The sequence below is a fragment of the Homo sapiens genome, chromosome 8 (genome assembly GCF_000001405.40).
Source record: "Homo sapiens chromosome 8, GRCh38.p14 Primary Assembly".
Taxonomy (NCBI): domain Eukaryota; kingdom Metazoa; phylum Chordata; class Mammalia; order Primates; family Hominidae; genus Homo; species Homo sapiens.
In genome coordinates this window covers 55,155,615-55,174,375 of record NC_000008.11, presented here as the reverse complement: position 1 = coordinate 55,174,375, position 18,761 = coordinate 55,155,615, and the positions used below count along the sequence as shown (strand labels likewise).

The 18,761-nt window shown below is 39.7% G+C and overlaps 1 protein-coding gene and 1 long non-coding RNA gene across 2 annotated transcripts in view, besides 1 other annotated feature; both read right to left on the bottom strand.

Annotated features, from left to right (window-relative positions):
* Positions 1-18,761, bottom strand: part of XKR4 (XK related 4) — a 440,027-nt gene that overhangs the window by 367,679 nt on the left and 53,587 nt on the right. The gene's annotated exons all lie outside the window — the stretch shown is intronic.
* Positions 3,873-4,058: a silencer, noted in NCBI's record as "fragment chr8:56082878-56083063 (GRCh37/hg19 assembly coordinates)". NCBI's record gives its function as "represses an EF-1alpha promoter that drives an FKBP-Casp9 reporter gene in an ReSE screen in K562 erythroleukemia cells {active_cell/tissue: K562}" and the evidence as "EXISTENCE:reporter gene assay evidence [ECO:0000049][PMID:32094911]".
* Positions 9,925-12,921, bottom strand: LOC105375844 (uncharacterized). The gene is made up of 2 exons (NR_188097.1): positions 12,732-12,921; positions 9,925-10,258 (listed from the first exon to the last, which is right to left on the bottom strand). It is a non-coding gene; the product is annotated as an uncharacterized LOC105375844 (long non-coding RNA).

The window sequence follows — 18,761 nt, the reverse complement described above, 5'->3', positions numbered from 1 at the left end:
AAACAGCTATACTCTTCTTTTAGGTGGAGTCAAGGTCCATTTAAACAACTGCTTTTACTCTAAATAGAAACTGACCTACAAAAGCCAGATCTCTTGACATCTTAGGATGATGGATTTATGCGAGAAATTTAGAAGATATTTTTTCAGTGTTCCCATTGTTTAAAAAAAAAGTCTGCCATGAAACAGGAAACTTGTCATTAAACTAAGCATTTGCATTCTTTTTTTTTAAATGATCATATAAAAACATTTTAATTGTATTATCTGCACCGAACTCTAGATACCAATAATATTTCATAGTTCAAAAGTGTTCCTTATTAGAACAATGATTTGATGCTACACCAAAATAGCAGTATCTCTGAAAACTTTATGGATTTTTAATGTATAATGATGCTTCAAATGCTCACATCCGTAATTCTTGCAATATTTTCTTAAAATATGTCAATTTCTTTATCTTTTATAAATACTTCATGCAAAATTTGAGTTGTGAAAGAATGACACATTTTTGAGAGCACTAAGTGTGTAAATGATTATATATACAGTGAGGCATAACCTTCCCTTGTGCCCACCAGCCAAATTGTTCAAATTCCTTTGATGCTGGAGATAAGTAAGAAATGCAGTGTAGGACAGCATTTGCATTCTTAATTGGTGGTACTGCCGACAAGCCAAGTATACTTGGGAAAGGCTATTGTGTCTAGCCTTGTAATTGACCTATGTGAGTTCAACACTTTTTTCACAATGTGCCTGGCACTGTGCTAGGCAGTGGGGTTTCAGAGATGAGGAAAACACTGTCAGAATAAAAATCAGCTCCTCCATAAGGAGACCAGAAAAGGTGTTGGAGGAAGGGTGGAGAATAGAGGACAACACAATCAAAGGTGTAAAGCATGAAACAGTATCATGTGTTCTAAAGCTATACGTTCTTTCAGAAACAGAATGCTAAAGAAACATTTTTAAAATAAACTATATATATTTTTGTATTGATGTTGCATGAAGTGCAAGACAATGGAGGAAGGGGAGTATTTGGAAAGTAGGTTAAAGAAGTAGGAAGGAATAAGGTCATACCAACAATAATTAAAAAAAAAAAAGTGTTGATGGGAGCCCCTGTGCCATGCTGGGAGCGGACTTTAGTGTGCGTGCAGTACCCATCCAATTGTCAGCACAATGCTGGAAAGGGGGCCTGCCAAGGGGACTCTTAAGTGCTAATGTGTCTGCCTATCAGCTGAGTGTTTGTGTGGGAGATCGGGGGCAGGACAGCTCCCAGGGGTGAGCATTTGCAGTAATTCTATGCTCCAGGACAAAAGAGGTTAAGAAGTGAGCATTTCCTATAACACAAATAACAACAATACTCACTCCAGCTACAAAATTTGTGTGCAAGCAACACTGACATTTTTCCCTGCTACCATGATGAGCAAGCATGTTCTACAGTCAGAGGAAAAGAAAACACTATCACATGGAACACTGAAACGAAACCAGATCAACCAACCAATAGAAACTCAAGGGGTCATACGTCTAGCTCTCATTCCCAAGATAAATGAAACCTTGAGCATTTCCCGTAAATCACTGATACCCTAACAAAAGCCATTTTACTCCCAGATTTTCCATTGCAGACATCTGAAAATGTGTCATGGTCTTTGTGGCTATGATAATCATGCAAGAACATTTCTTTTTTGTCTGTATGAACAGACAGACTGTAAACCTGATAAATTTGGTAATGTCATACATGTGTTTTTTAAATACCTGTGCTGTTTTCAATTTGGCTATCCACCTTATACTTAGGCACAAGTTTGCTTCTTTTTCTAAATGCTTTTCACTCTGTCTTTGTTTTATACTATAGGAAAGGGGGAATTTTAGAAAATTGTATATATGTATTTATATGCATATGGGTGTGTATATGCATATATTTTATTAATTTTGAAAGGATGTAGAAGAAAATATAACATTTTTTACCAATTTGGAGCAGGGGAGCAATTGGATGGGTGGGGCAAGAGTAGGTGCAAAATTTTTCACACTGGATGGATTTTTGTACCATGAGATATATTACCTACTTAAAAATAAAGCATGATGATCTCCATTTCAGAGATGAGGAAACTGAGGCAGAGAAAAGGTGAGTAGCTTCCTAAGGCCTATATCCTGTAAGTGAAGGAAAACGGGGACTTTTTTTTTTTTTTGAGAGAGAGTCTTGCTCTGTCGACCAGTGCAGTGGCATGATCTTGGCTCACTGCAGCCACCCCCGACAACCTGGGTTCAAGTGATTCTCATGCCTCAGCCTTGTGAGTAGCTAGGATTACAGGAATGCGGCACCACGCCCAGCTAATTTTTGTATTTTTAGTAGAGATGAGGTTTCACCATGTTGGCCAGGCTGGTCTCAAACTCCTGACCTTAAGTGATCTGCCTGCCTCGGCCAGGGAAGAATTTTAATGATAGAACACGTCTATCAGAAAGACCCCTCTGGAGGAATGGATTGCAAAGCCTGGCAGTGGGGCAAGAAGGACAGCCGGGAAGCAGTGGCCATAGTGCAGGTGATGGACGATGGGGATCTGGACTCGGGAGGCACAGATGGAGAACAGGGAATGTAGCTCGGGGATACTGGAAGGCGACATAAACTTGGCTTATGACCAGGCTGTCAGGCGAAGGGGAGGAAAAATGCAGGGCAATGCCTGGGTCTGTGGCTGACAGTGTAGGCTGTCAGTGTTGGCAGGCTGCCCAACAGAGATAGGGAAAACAAAGCAAAAGACAACTTGTGGGAGGAAGGGTGAAGGGATTCATCTTGGAAATGTGTTTTAGGTGCTAAGAACATACAGACGAGGAACCAAGTCCCATTAGGCAACTCTCCAGAGGTATAAGGCTCAAAATAAAGGCCAGGGAGACCTAAGCTGGTCACCAGGTAAAATGACACGGAGACGTATGAAGACCTGCCATATCCATGTTGTAGGTGAGCCCACAGAGGCCCTGAGCTGGTGAGAAGCTTTCCAAAAGTCTATGGCTGAGTGCTAGATGTGGGGTTCAAGCACCAGCTTGCCTGTCCCCAAGCCTCATCTCTTCCCTTCTCTCCATTGTGTCTCCCACCAGACGCTGTAACAGATGATGGTAAGGACACATTTTCTATCAAACGCCTCACCATTAAATACAATGTCAGCATTAACACCTCACAAATATTTCTTAATTACTCAGAAATGTATTTTTATTTTCTCGATTGTAGGTACTGAAAATCATCTTCACTATTTCCTGAGCTCTTCTTCACGGTACAGTGTGTATGTGTAAGTATTTTGACCCATTTTCTGCTCTTATCTGTAGAAAGCAATATAAATCTAGGAAGTAAGTATATTGGCTATTCCCAGGAAATATTAATTTCCAGAAGGTATGTAATAATCTGATACCAAAAATACCACAGGGGAGTTGGCAGGAAATTATCAGATAATACTGACAGGAAGCAGAAAGTTCCATGTTAAAGAAGAAGGGAGGGGGAGAGACTTTGACCTTCTGAGGTTGGACGGGCAGACTAGGAGCCGTGCAGCTCACCCCTTGCCAAGTTCCAAGCTCCCGCCCGTGTCCGGAAAGTCAGAGGAAAACTTTATCCCAGAAACTCAAACTGTGGGGCCTAAGTGATCCATCTTTGGTTTGCTGACTGAAATGTTTCAGTCAAGCCCATCATGACAGTCGTTATGCCTGCCAGGTTAAAATGGGTGTAATCAATAATCAGAGAAGGTGATGAATACATATGTCTCATGCATATCTGCATTAATTTCTTATTGGTGCTGTAACAAGCTACCACAAATTTAGGGACTTAAAGCCCTACAATTTACTTTGCTTACAGCTCTGTAGGTCAGTTCTCAGACACAGGTCTCACTGGGCTAAAATCAAGCAGCGGGTCTATGTTCCTTCTGCAGGCTCTGGGGAGAATCTGTCTTCTTGTCCTTGCCTGCTGCCTGGGGCCACCACATTCCTTGGCTCATGTCCCCATACCTCCATCTCCACAGCATGCCTGTGACTCCCCATTCCTGCCTCCCTCTTGCACTTTTAGGACTATTATGATGACAACACACCCCTACATAATCCAGGATAATCTCCCTGATCGAAAGTCAGTTGATTCACAACCTTATTTTCATCTGCATCATGGAGTCCCCTTTGCTTTATAAGCTAACGTGTTCACAGGTTCCAGGCATTAGGATACGAATATATTTGGGGGGCCCGTTATTCTGCCCATCACACTCTCTTACAAACTTGACTAGCTCATCATGCATAATCCAAAAGTGGTATGTTTAGAACATGCTGTGAACTTTTGGTTGAAGTACATAAAGAATATGAATATGAATACAAATTTGAAGCAGGAAGGAGAACTATTGCCTGTTTTGTTGAACTATGAAATAACTAAGTTATTTTAATAACTCAAGATATATGCAACATTATAAAATGGCAGATTAATAAAAGTTAAACTAGGCTCAAGAAGTGTTAGCAAATTCTGGTTATTCTTACAAGAATCAATGCTGTTTAGGAGCAGAGTAGGAATTCCTTGCACACGATGACTCCTTTCTAGTTGGGATTTCTTATCTATACAAATATCCTTATTCAAAGTTGTACACTTAAATTCTGAATAGGAGATAGTTCCACTGTGGCTTTACAACTTTCAATTTTGATTTAATTAACGAAAGAGTTTAATACCACTTTCTTTGAAATAATAAAATACAGTTAGATGGAACGTGGGGAAAAAATGAAATCTTTTTGCACACTACTGTGTTTCTGACAACAAGAGAGAAAGGACTGTCCTGATCCAGGTGTCCATGCTGTCATGATGGTTTTGTGGAAGGGCCAACCTGGTACCCCTACATAATCCAGGATAAGATGCTGGGTCCTTGCCCACCTGGCATTATGTTGGAAGTGAGAGGTAAAAACACACAGGACCTGGAGAAAACATTGAGTCGATACCCTTCTGTAACTCTAAACTGATGACTTTCATATTGGGTTTGGCATTTACTGTTCAGATTCAATCTTTGAAAAGGGATGAAACCACGGATGGGCATTACTGCCATTTTACCTGCCCTTCCCACCTTCCTCCCTGCAGCGTTCAGTGGCAACAGTCTAGTTAGAAACCACCACTGGCAGAAAGGCTTAAAGAACTACGAGCCACCCAGCACAGAGGTAAGGGAAATAAGATAGACAAGTTTTCTAATGTTTCAAACTACATATGAAGACACTTGCAAATGGCTAAGAACAATTGAATACGAAATATGAAAGTATTGAATCATGTCAATATTTTAAAGGGCACGTGTTAAAAACCTGATTGCTTACCCTTTCAGAATTTAGTATGCAACATGTCTAGAAAGATAAAAATTGGACCAGAAAGTATTTTTAAAAGAACATGATTTGAAACAAATAAACCTATCAATTTCTGAAATGTTCATCAAGACGTGATCTATCAAATGTGAAGTGGATTTTTCATAGGCCTGCAGTTTGCTAGGACTATTCCACATGACTGGTTAATCAGTTAACAGGACACAGACAAGCTGGTAGATTCAGAATATTCAGCATATACACTTGGAGTGAATTACCATACCTGCATTTGTAACATAAAGGCAGACAGTCCCGGCATTTCTTGCTCATAATGAAGGGAGAGAGTCTGACCAGCAAGGAGAAGCTGAGCAGGAGATTTGAAACATCTCTAAAAGTATAAGGATGAGCTGATAGAATTTTTACCACAGTTTTGATAGAAGAAGATACATTGGATAGGCTTCAGAATTAAAAACAACAAGAGAGTGAAAAACTAAAGCAAACAGATGAAATGAGGCAGGGGAAGTAGACATCTGTTCTTTCCAAGGTGAGGATCAAAACCATTCATTTTAATGCGAGTGACATTTCCAGAGTGACTTACCCGATACTCAAAGCACAGGAACAGAGAAAAGTGCACAGAAGTGGGAACATAGGATGCATTTTAAAATTATTATAAGGTAATAATCCTTCAGCCTCTCATGTACTTTAGAATGAAACAAAACAGGATGAAGGATTTGACAGATGATATTGGATTCACTCATCTCCTGCTCCCCAACTTAAAACATCCATTCTGTCCTCTACGTTTTTGATGAAAAACACCACCACACACAAACCAAAAACAGCAAGGGAAATGGAAACAGCTCTTCTACTCAGGGTCCCACTTGTCCAGAAATGAAGAAAAAGGGAATGTTTGGCCAATAGAAGAGTTCCAGATTCAGAGAGTGAATGATAAATATTTCACTGGACTATCATTTAGAACAACAGACTTTCTGTACGATTCTCTTCTTAAACAATGATTATTATTTTTAAAGAATCTAAGAGTTTCCCAATTTTCATGGTTGTATTTTATTCTACCATAAAATCATCTCCCAAAAGTACCTATATTTCTCATAATGAAATGACCAATTTATTACCTGATTTGACCCATCAGCTTCATTTTACAGTTGGTTACTCCTTGAAATTCTTGCTTTAAGTGGTTTTCTGGATATCACACTTGCCTGGTTGCCCTACTTCCCTGGCCACTCCTCTGGCTTCTATGCTGGTTCAGCCCCATCTCTTTGGTCTCTAAATGTTGGAGTCCCCCAAGCTCAATCATTGCACCTCTTTTCTTTTCAATCAGTGTTCATTACCTTGGGGATTACATCCATTTGTATGACTCTAACACTCATCTGTTAGTTGGTGACTCCCAAAAGTATATGTCCAATCTGGACACTGTACTAGTTAGTGCAACACTAATTTCTGTCTCAGATAAACTACTGAATCTCAGTGGTTATATGCAGATAAACTACTGAATCTCAGTGGTCATATGCAACAAAAATTCATGTCTTGCTTCCGAAGTCTATCGCAATCATTCCTTGTTGGCAGGTGGCTTTGCACCTGGTTATTTGGGGTCCTGGGTTCTTTTCGTCCTACGGTTCTGCCTTCTCCTTTCAGCAATCCTCTAAGGATGGGGAAAGAGCTTGGAGCATCATACTCATGAGGTCTTCACAGCTGAGCCTGGATGTGACACATAATACTTGTGCTCACTTTTTATTGGCTAGAGCTCAGTCACAAACCCAGACTCACTGCAAGGAGGCCAGGACACACAGCTTCGCTGAATCTCATGAAAGAAGTGTGACAAACATCTCAGTCTTAGTATACCCAAGTACAGAACTTATAATATACCTCTCCAAAAAACTCATCCTTTCCAGAGTCTTCCCCTTCACATTAAGTAACTACTCAATTCTGCCATTTGCTCAAGCCATGGCATCATCCCAATTCAACTGTCTTCCTTCCACTTCCCACATCCAGTCCAGTAAGAAATCTGCTGATGCTACTACCTTCAGAATATATCCAGAATTAGGTCACCTTCCACCACTTTTGCCCCTTCCATCCTAGTCTAAGTTTCCATCCTCTCTCCCTTGAAAGCTTTAAATGTCTCACCTTCTTGAAGTCTGTTCTCAACACTTAGCCCAAATGAGCCTTTTAAAATCTAAATCTGATCATGAATCTGCTCAAAAGTCTCCAATGGCTTCATATATCATTCAAAGCAAAAGATAATCTGTGCTCTAGTCCACCAGATGGTACTGGGTTTGGTCCCATCCTTATCTCCTTCTCTTCACCCACTGCTCACTCCAGACACATTGACCTTCTTGCTGCCCTTGAACATGCGATGTTATCTGTCTGAGATCCCCCTGCCTGCATATTCCCACATATCACATAATTCACTACCATCATGTTCTCAGGGAGATTTAAATTATTCCAACAGCATACCCAAAACTCCTCATGCCACTCTCTGCTTTATTTTTTCTTCAGAGTGCATATCATCATCATACATACTATGTGCTTTTCTATTAAGGTGTTTCATTCTGTTTCCTTCCATTAGAATGTGAGCTCCATTAAGGCAGACACTTTTGTCTATTGTTTGTTTGCTTTTGCTGCTGTATCCACAGTGCTAGGATACTGTGTGACACATAGTAGGTGCTTAACACATATTTTTTAAATGAACAGATAAAATATTTCCCTTTAAAGACTCAGCAGAGATGACTGTTCCCCTTCCAACCAGACTGTCTCCTTGTGCTCTGTCAGCAGAAGGATGGTGCTGGAACTTCTCTGTAGATTCAGAGTTCAGTTATCCCTCAGGATTATCAGAGTCGCTGTGCATCATGGCAAAAGAAAAGAATATACCTTCTATAACCAAATATAATAGATACAGTTGAATTGAGCAATTTTTTATTGCTGATTTAATATTTATTGGGCCACAATTTGGGAAACCCCAGTATCATTACTTCCTCCCTCCCCCACCTCATTTGCATGTGAGAGGCAGCCAGATCCACAGGCCTCACTACATGTATGTTTTCCTGCTCCCATTAAGCTTGTTCAGAGTAATGCCAAAGTCATTTCTGACAACATCACACTTGACCCTGAGTAGCAAAGATACACACACAGCAAAGGTAGAAAGTATCTGGATTCATTTTATTTGTAGGCAAGTGGTTACTTTTTCTCAGGATATATAAGCATTGACATCCTATTTTCCCATAAACCTCTTTGACCTTCAAATACCATATTTCATGAATTTTCTTTTTCTTTTTTTTTCTTTTTTTTTTTTTTGAGACGGAGTCTTGCTCTGTCGCCCAGGCTGGAGTGCAGTGGCACAATCTCGGCTCACTGCAAGCTCCGCCTCCCGGATTCACACCATTCTCCTCCCTCAGCCTCCCACATAGCTGGGACTACAGGCACCCGCCACCACACCCAGCTAATTTTTTGTATTTATTTCATGAATTTTCAGATGAAGAGATGAAGATTTTAAGTCACTAAGAGTTTGAAACCCCTCTTCGCTGATGTTGATTATGACACCACAAATTGTCAATGATTAGAATTTAGTGAGAGTTTTGTGGATTAGTTTCAGTTTGCGGCCCTTTTTGAAATATATTTCATGATACTTTGCAAGTTTAGCATTGCCAAAATTTTATATGAACTATTCAGGCAAAAATATCTTATTTGCTGGTACAGATGATTAATGTTTTATAACACCGAGAAAATTAAAAAGCTATAATTGTCATGAATACTAATGGTGCATAATATGTATGAAGGTCATTACATGGTCAAAGATCTTAAAATAGCTGGCATTTTGATTAGCCCTGGTTCCTCTTTTGTCTCCCTTTACATAAATTCATTAACACACCTCTAACATGTCATTAGTCTCACATTGAGAGACTCACCAATCAGCATTCTAATTCCAGTAAAGACCAGTTGAGTTAACTTTGTCTCTGCATTCAAAAAGGAACTATTGGGAGGAACAAGCATACTGAATTTTCATTGTCCCATGTTCTATGGGACCTGCCCATCCTACTTCCTAGGGCTGCCCATTCTACTTCCTTTCTGCCACTGGGCCATAATTTTGTAGATTTCGCCTTTTGATAAGAAATGACCACCTTGCCTCCGAGTGAATTCAAAGGATGGATCCGGAACACAGGGTCTATAGGACATGGGGAGAGGGAGGGTGAGGCAGCAAATGAGCTTTCAGGAATTTCAAAGCACAGCATACTACTTTTTGGTATAAGGACTGGCACTTATTTTCAACCTGAGCTCTGCTGAACGTGTGTGTGTGTGTGTGTGTGTGTGTATGTGTGTGTGAACTTTTGTTAGAAGGAATCAGAATAAAACATAAAATAAGAAAACAATTGGTAATGGTATTATTATACATGGGTTTGATTTGACTTGATCTTATTCTCTTGGTCTCTTTCCCCCTGTAAACTTAAAACATGTGTGGAAAATTGCCCATGCTGTCCTTTCTCCTTTCTTGCTGTCCAGCCATCTCAGGGCTAGGCCCATGGGCATTCATTTTGCCCATAAGCACTACCCTCAATGTAAAAAGAAGTTCCTAAACATTTTCTGAGTACCAGCAAGCTCAGGACATTGAGCTTGCAGCTGTGGAGAATACCCAGGTAGACTACTTCCAGCTCTGTCCTCAAGGTGCTTTTATTTTCCTTTCTGGGAGATCTGTCAGTCAAACAGGAATGTGAGTTTGTTAAAGGCTGAACCTCTGAACTTATAGGAGTTATTTCTACTCAGGGGTCATCTCACCCTCCAAATAGCAATAGCTGACAGCATCCTGCCCACTAGGAGAATGGACGAGGGTCAGGCAAAGAGAGACAGAGAAAGAGGAGATGGGTCTCAATGCCGACAGAATTCAGGAAAGGTGCTGTGGGGAGGCGGCGGACGAGGCAACCTGTGTGCTGGGCCAGGCCAGTGGCGCTTGGAGCAAACTCCTGTAGGGCTGGTCTGGGGCTGTGGTCTGCTGAAAAGAGAAGGTGGAGGTCTTAATGTGGGTCACAGATAAGGGCAAAGGAGCCTCCTGAAACAGTTGTGTGCATGTGTGCGAGGGATGTGTGTGCAAATATTTTTTCTGCTTCCATGCTAGCATATGCACGCAGGCATTAATGAACTGAGCACTTCTAAGTATGTTTTCCCATTCTAGTTTAAAGAGCACACATGATCATTATTGGTACTAATTAACATTCTTTATATAATATTTATTTATTTATATTTCATTTATTGATTTATTTTTGAGACGGAGTCTTGTTCTATTGCCCAGGCTGGAGTGCAGTGGCACGATCGCAGCTCACTGCAACCTATGCCTCCTGAGTTCAACCGATTCTCCTGCCTCAGCCTCCCAAGTAGCTGGGATTATGGGCACCTGCCATCATGCTTGGCTAATTTTTGTATTTTTGTAGAGACAGGGTTTCATCATGTTGGCCAGTCTGGTCTTGAACTCCTGAACTCAGGTGATCAGCCCACCCCAGCCTCCCAAAGTGCTGGGATTACAGGTGTGAGCCACCATGCCCATTCTAATATTTATAATTATTTAAAATAATGCAAATTATGTAACATGTTTATCTGAGCTATGGAACAAAAAAACACAGAGTCCACAGGAATAAACTGGGAATATTTAGAAGTCTACATTGAAGTGAAATTCTATATGGAACCACGCAGCTCACCAACAAAACTGGAGCTGCCTCTTTTGCCATTTACTTGCTTCTGTATTTTCTCTCAGGCCCACAGGGCCTCATCCTCTCTTCCTGCAGCCCTTACCTAAATGCGATCTATTTTAATAGAAGGATCTGAAAGCCACTCACACTTAAAAGCAAGTAGCTAATAATAAGTAAAAGCCTTCTCTTTCCAGGGTTATCTTCATGTTAACAGAGATCAGAGGCTTAAGTTCAAAGAATTAAGCTTTAGATGTCCCAGCAGGTATGTGTATGTAACAGGAGGGGAGTGGATTTATTTTAGGGAGAGAGACATTCTACTGTCACTGAAATTACAACATAAAGAATTTTGCCTCGTGACAGGCAAGGCCAAGACTAGAAATGATGTGAACTCTGATCTTTCTCTGCATGGTGACATTAATAAAAAATGTAAAGCATTTTACAATATTATATATTTGTATAATATGTATTTTGTAACACTTTAGGCTATTATATTTTTAAAATTATGCCCCATATATATGTTCAGGGATACATACTATTCAGATATTCTGTAGAATTCAGCTAAGAATAACTATTTCATATGTGCATATATAGTACAGTTTTTTTCATTAGAAAAAAGAACCTAGCATAGACTTTGGACATTTCTAACCAAGTAGTTTAAATATTGAAAGGGTAGTTCAATTTCACACAGTAATACCCTAAATTGTACTATTGAGACCACAACACTGACTATGCTTTCTGTGTGCTTACCTTGTTTTCAAGGAGGGACTTTCAATTGTAGTGGAAAGAACAGGGATTTTGGAACCCTGGCTTTAAAAGTAACAATCATTAACAATAATATCATTTATTCAACGACTAGTATGTACCATGCTTTGAGTAAAGCACTTAGATACATTGTCTTATTTAATCCTCACAACACTTTTATAAAGAAGATATTATTATTTCATTTTGCAAATGAAGAAGTTGTGGTCTTAAGAATTTAAGAAACATAGTTCATTCAGTTACAAGTTGTGCAGGAGATAGTAACATTTAGGTCTATCTCATGGCAAAGATCAGTAGGCTTCACCATTAACTCACTTATTTTAAAAGACGCTTATTGCTGCTACTCTGCACAGTGCTGGACAGTGCTGGATGTCAAGGACACAGAGACAAATAAGGTGTGGGTTGTATTCTTGAAGCCCTTACAGCCTGTCGGAGGCACTCGGTGTGTACTCTAGGGACCACAGTAGACTGTGATGAACATCATGAGGAGAAAATGAACAAGGTTCTCCAGGAGTGGAGAGGAAAAGAGTCACAGTCAGACATGGAGTTAGGTTAGGAAGGGCTTCCTGGAGAAGGTGGTGATCAAGGTGAGCTTTGAAAGACAGGTAGGAATTATTTAGACAAGGATGACCAATAGATAAAGGTGAGATCATGAATACACTTCTATCTAAAGCCTTGAAATAATATGGCACCACCAGCTCTTCTGCAAATCAAAGGCCTGTGGTGGTAGCAAACAGAGATTGCAGAAAATGCACAGGCCAGTTTGTGAAAGAATTGATCAAAAATACAGGAAGCACTACAGGATTTTAAAGAGGAGCTGACAGAAATGCACTGGTTTTTAAGACCTCAGATACTTAACTTTGCTAAGCACAGTTTTGTAACCTGTGAAGTGGAGAAAAGAATTTAGTGATGAATGTATGTGCAGTAAGTGGCCATGGGTGGCACCTGCCTGGAGGAATTGCTCAGTGACCAGTAGGCAGGTACCAGGTACTTCTAAACACCGTCCAAGTATTCACTTACCCAATCCCCACTGCAACATTAGAAGTTGGTACTACTATTCGTCCACATCTAACAAATGCAGACAACTTGTCTAGGACCGGACAGACAGCAGCAGTAGTGGGAGGTTTTGAGCGCTGCTCATCCTGCCCTTTTCTGTTTTTTCAGATGGTGGCTATAAAGGACCCATCACTGCCCAGCCCAGCAGGTGCTCAAAGACTCTAGTTTCCCTTGGGACCTCAGAGAGAAGCAGGGAATTATGACAGTCACTGTGATGTAAGGAGGGGACCAACCAATCCCATTACACAGAAAAATGCTATGAACACATTTGAATAAGTCTAAATCTGCATCTCTTTTTTTTCTGGGAAAGATGTCTGCGAGTGAAATAACTGTGTCTGTTAAAGCAGAAAGGAGAGCTTCCGGTTTTATTGCACCTGTGTGGTATCTATGACTGTGTAGAAAGATGGCTGCTGCTCCTGTGCATGGCCACGTGCTGTGAAGGATGGAACCCCCAGCCCACATTCAGAGCCACCATGGGAAGCACTTCCTGTGCAGGTCCAGGTGCTGGCAATACTCAATGGAAGAGATAACCACCAAAGCCGAAGCTCAGAACACAGGTCTGATTTGGATTAAAGAAGCCATCACACCTACTCAACAATCACCAATGTCTCCAGAAAGCACCCTTGTCTTTCCTTTAAATCTCCAGTATGCTTTGAAAAACTCCACCCACCGAAATACACCAGATGTTGCCTTCAAACTTTTTTGTGTGAATTTTATTAATGGAATTGCATTTATTTATTTATTCAGCAAATATTTAATGAATTCCAGTTATACCAGAGACACTGTGATAAGGGCTAGAAATAGAGAAATGTAACAGTCCCTATTCTTAAGCAGCTCAGACTAGTACAAACATTAGGTTGAGCCACATGAATCTGCCCTTTTTACAGGCAAAACAGTCAAACATTGGCCATTTTGTGTGGTTCAACCGAATATAACAACAATGAAAATGAAATACAATGCATACTCATAGGGAATTACGGAAACAGAGTGAGGCATGTGAATCCCTCTGAGGGAGTAAGGAAGGCTCTGCCAGGAACTGTGTTTCGTGAAATTATAACACCCTGCCTACTCTGGCCTTTGGACTCACCCTAGACCTTGTCCTTGCCAAAAGCTGCAGTTAGCAACCAATCTGAAATCTTAGGCCCACCATCCCACTAAATTACCCCTGCCTCTTTTACTTCTAGTTCATGCCTACAGACCTCTAATTCTAACCCTCCTGATCCACTGATCCTACTCCCTCCTCACTGTCTCTCACCTTTCCTCCCCTCCTTTCCAGCTTATATTGCAAATTACATGGCAACTAATTTAAACACTCCTTGCATACACAATGCTGCATTCTCACTTGAAAACACCACATCTTAAATAAACTCAACTTTCTGCCTAGTTCAGGGCTGCACCCATGAGCTGAATATGGCTGGAGTAAAAATACAACCACGCCAATGGTCTCATGTTACACCCTTGACTCCCACTCATGACTACACCCTTATGCTTCCAATCATGCATACTTCCTTAGTGCACTAATTCCCTACTTTCCTAGACAATTCTCTACATTCCTACATCATTTCTTTTCTACATTCCTACATCATTTCTTTTCTACATTCTTTTCTTTGCTCAGATCAATAGCACCTCCCCACATCCTGACTTTTATCCAATAATCTCATGACAAGAAGTGATCAGAGAAGAACCATCCCTAGCATCATGTCAACTTTCCTACCACATCACTACTTGAGTCTATATGCGATGCTATGCAGCCAGGACCACAGATGAACTAGCCTCGCATGTATCTCTAGCTAGTCCTTTTCTCTGTGCTCTAGATCTCATTCCTTCTTCAGTTTCAACTTCATGGGTTACTTCTACCAACTATTATTTTTCCCATCTTAAACCAACAGACAAATGGAATCTTATCTTGCCTTTTTTTGATGTTCAGGTTGGCACGAAAATTGTTTTATAGGGTCATTTGTACTTGATGTTTACAAGTCATTCCTCATCCCATGTTCTCACTTACTCACGTGCCTTCAGACTTTTTCATCATTCCCTTTAAACTGTTCTTATATAGGGCAACATGACCCCAAGTTTTTGCTCAAAAGATACAGATGCCATTTCATAATATTCAAATTGGATGTTCCCTACAACCCCGTCATACTCATCTTTCTGTTTTTATAGCACGTATTGCCTTGTAATATAAAATGTGTGTGTGTATACTTGACTCATTTATTTTGCTTAGTATTTGTCTTGTCTGCTAGAATTTAAGCTCTGTGAGGGCAGGGATGTTTGCTTTGTTCATCGACATATCCCAAGTGCTTTGAAATGTATGGCATAGAGTTGACATTCAATAAATGTTTGTGGATTAAAAGACTACTTCTACCAATAAAAGAATAAAATACCTATAAATATAGCTAACCAGGGTGGTGAAATATCTCTACAATGAGAATTGTGGAGATACAAAATACTGCTCAAAATAGTCAGAGGTGACACAAACAAATGGAAAACATGCCATACTCATGAACAGAATGAATCAATCTTGTTTAAATGGCCATACTGCCTAAAGAAACTTACAGATCCATGCTATTCCTATCAAACTACCAATGATACTCTTCACAGAATTGGAAAAAAACGTTTAAAATTCATATGAAACCAAAAAAGAGCCAGAATGTCCGAGGTAATTCTAAGCAGAAAGAACAAAGCTGGAGACATCACATTACCTGACTTCGACATACACTACAAGGCTACAGTAACCAAAACAGCATGGTATTGGTACAAAAACAGACACATACACCAATGGAACAGAATAGAGAGCTCAGAAATAATGCCACACATCTACAACCATCTGATCTTCAACAAAGTTAACAAAAACAAGCAATGTGGAAAGGTAAATGGAATAACTGGCTAGCCATATGCCGAAGATTGAAACGGAACCCCTTCCTTGTACCATATACAAAAATCACCTCAAGGTGGATTAAAAACTTAAATGTATAACACAGAACTATAAAAACCCTATAAAATAACCTAGAAAACACTATTCTGGACATAGGATATGGCAAAGATTTCATGACAAAATTGCCAAAAGCAATTGCAACAAAAACAAAACATGACAAATGGGACCTAATTAAACTAACGAGCTTCTGCACAGTAAAAGAAACTACCAACAGAGTAAACAGACAACCTATAGAATGGAGAAAATATTTGCAAACTATGCATCCAGCAAAGGTCTAACATCCAGAATCTATAAGGAACTTAAACTAATCAAAAAGCAAAAAATAACCTCATTAAAAAGTAGTCAAAGGCATGAACAGACACTTTTCAGAAGAAGACATACACACTAGCAACAAACATTTAAAAATCCTCAACGTCACTAATCTTTAGAGAAATGCAAATCAAAACCACCATGGGATACCATCTCACACTAGTCAGAATGGCTATTAAAAAGTCAAAAACTAACAGATGCTGGCAAGGCTGCAGAGAAAAGGGAAGGCTTACAAACTGCCAGTGAGGAGTTCAGCCATTGTGGAGAGCAGTTGGGTGATTTCTCAAAGAACTTAAAACAGAATTACCATTCAACCCAGCAATCCCATTACTGGGTATATTTTCAAAGGAATATAAATCATTCTACCATAAAGACACATGCACACGTATGTTCATTGCATTGCTATTCACAATAGCAAAGACATGAAATCAATGCCCATCAACAGTGGATTGGATAAAGAAAATGTACATAGACACCATGGAATACTACACAGCCATAAAAAAGAGAGAGAGATCATGTCCTTTGCAGCAACATGGATGGGGCTAGAGGCCATTATCCTATGCAAACTAATGCAGGAACAGAAAACCAAATACTGCATGTTCTCACTTGTAAGTGGGAGCTAAACATTGAGTACATATGAACACAAGGAAGGCAACAACAGACATTGGGGCCTACTTGAGGGTGCAGGGTGGGAAGAGGGTGAGAATAAAAAAAACTACCCATCAGGTACTATGCTTATTACCTGGGTGATGAAATAATCTGTATACCCAACCCCCATGACACACAATTTACCTGTACCACAAACCTGCACATGTACCCTTGAACCTAAAAGTTTTTTTAAAAGGCAAAATTCTTTAAAAAAAAAAAGTATTTCCAAAAACGTTTAGAGGTATTATAAGCTTTTCTCATCTTGCAGAAGATAAGCACACATTAAGAGTTGAAATAATGTTCTAAATAACAAAACAGACCACATCTCCCTCTTATCATGTTATCTAGTGTTATTTAGATGATGCTATCTCTTTATCATAATTTCTTTATTCCTAAGAAAAAGAGATTCCTTCAATACACATTATTCCAATTTTACAATAACTGAATAAGTTCCACTTTGAAGCTTCCTCCACTTCTATTTTTAAACCTATTCATAAATATCTCTATAAATAATGTACGATACAATCAATGTTAGTCAACAGATTTTTAAAAATCATAAAGGTTCGTGATTTGCCTTAAGTCAGACATGTAGGTGGTGGTTTGTTCTACAATTCCATAGGACAACTGGGTCATGGAAAGTTGTTATAGAAGCTTTCACAGCAGACACTAACATACAGCATGAAACTTCAAACACAATGAAAAGTGATTATGTACATATTTACTGAGCGCCAAATCAGAAGACAAGGTGTGTTCCTCTGCTTCATATTTTATGGACTGTTACTGTATTTTGGATACCAGTTTCATCCAATTGTTAACAATTTTCTCAGAGACTTGTTTATGCAGAAAGTTTACGGAAACGTGTTGTTGGTGTAATCTTCCTACAGGTGAACCTTACATGCTGGCCCAGGGGGCATGTCACAGGATTTTGGCTCCCTGAACACTTAAAGCATACATCCCTTTTCCCATCTTTCATTTCTTAAGAACTTTTTAACTTTTATTAACGTTTAAACTTATTTTTTAAAATGAAATAGTATTAAGAGACTTACAATGGGGGAAAAAAAACAAGCCCACACTCCATTCTTTTCTAGTTAGGATGCCCAATCCCATACCCCAAGCACTTTTAACCCTTTTTAGGCATTTCTTCAGTTATCGCCAAACTCTTTATGTTTCTATTTGTTGTCTTATGAAACTTAGACACAGTTACAGAATGAACTATTAGTGAACACCTGTTACAGAAGGCAAAGATCTGACTTACACACCCCACCCCACCCCCGCCCTTCCTCCCTCTCCCCACCCCCACCTCGCCATCTTACGCCGTGACTATGCGCGCAGCGTCTTACCTTGAGCTCACTGTTGACTGCAAGTCCTTACGAGTCTTTACGCGGTCATTTGGATTCAAAATTATTGCATATTTTCATGTTTTTTTCTTACATTTATTGCTATTTTTTTCCCTGAGTGTTCCAACAGATCTGCCAAATACCTAGCAAGATTCCTCCCCGCCCCCCACCAAATACACAGAAACAATACTAAACAGTCTAAGCCTTGTTTTCCCTGCGGAAGCTCCTCTCCCACAGTCACACTTCCCAGTTCCCATCAACACTATCTCCTCCTAAAGGCCACCTTCCTGGGTTTGAAGCGGTTTCTTGTATCTCATATGTCTTACTCACTCTCAGTTAAATTCTTAATTTGGCAGAATCACAGTCTCTAGCAGTGTCTTAAGATAGGTTTTTGAGTGATATTTTTTTGTGTGTGAGTTCTTGCATGTCTGAAAGTGTCTTTATTTTGCTCTTATGTTTGATGGATAAATTGGCTAAATATAGAATTTCATATTGAAAATCATATTCCCCTCAGAATTTTAGAGTATATCTCTGCTGTTTCCTGTTATCTGCTGTTGATGCCAGGGTTGAAAGCTATTCACTGTGGGTGACTCATCTTTTCCCAACACTTGTATTTAGTCTTTGTCCCCGATATTCTAATATTTTTGATTCGGGTGGGTATATGCATTCTTCCTTGTTTATTAGGCTGGGTGTTTGATGGTCCCTTTTAATTTAGAACTTTAGATTTTTTTTTCTCTCTCTCTCTCTTAATGCCTTTATCTTTTT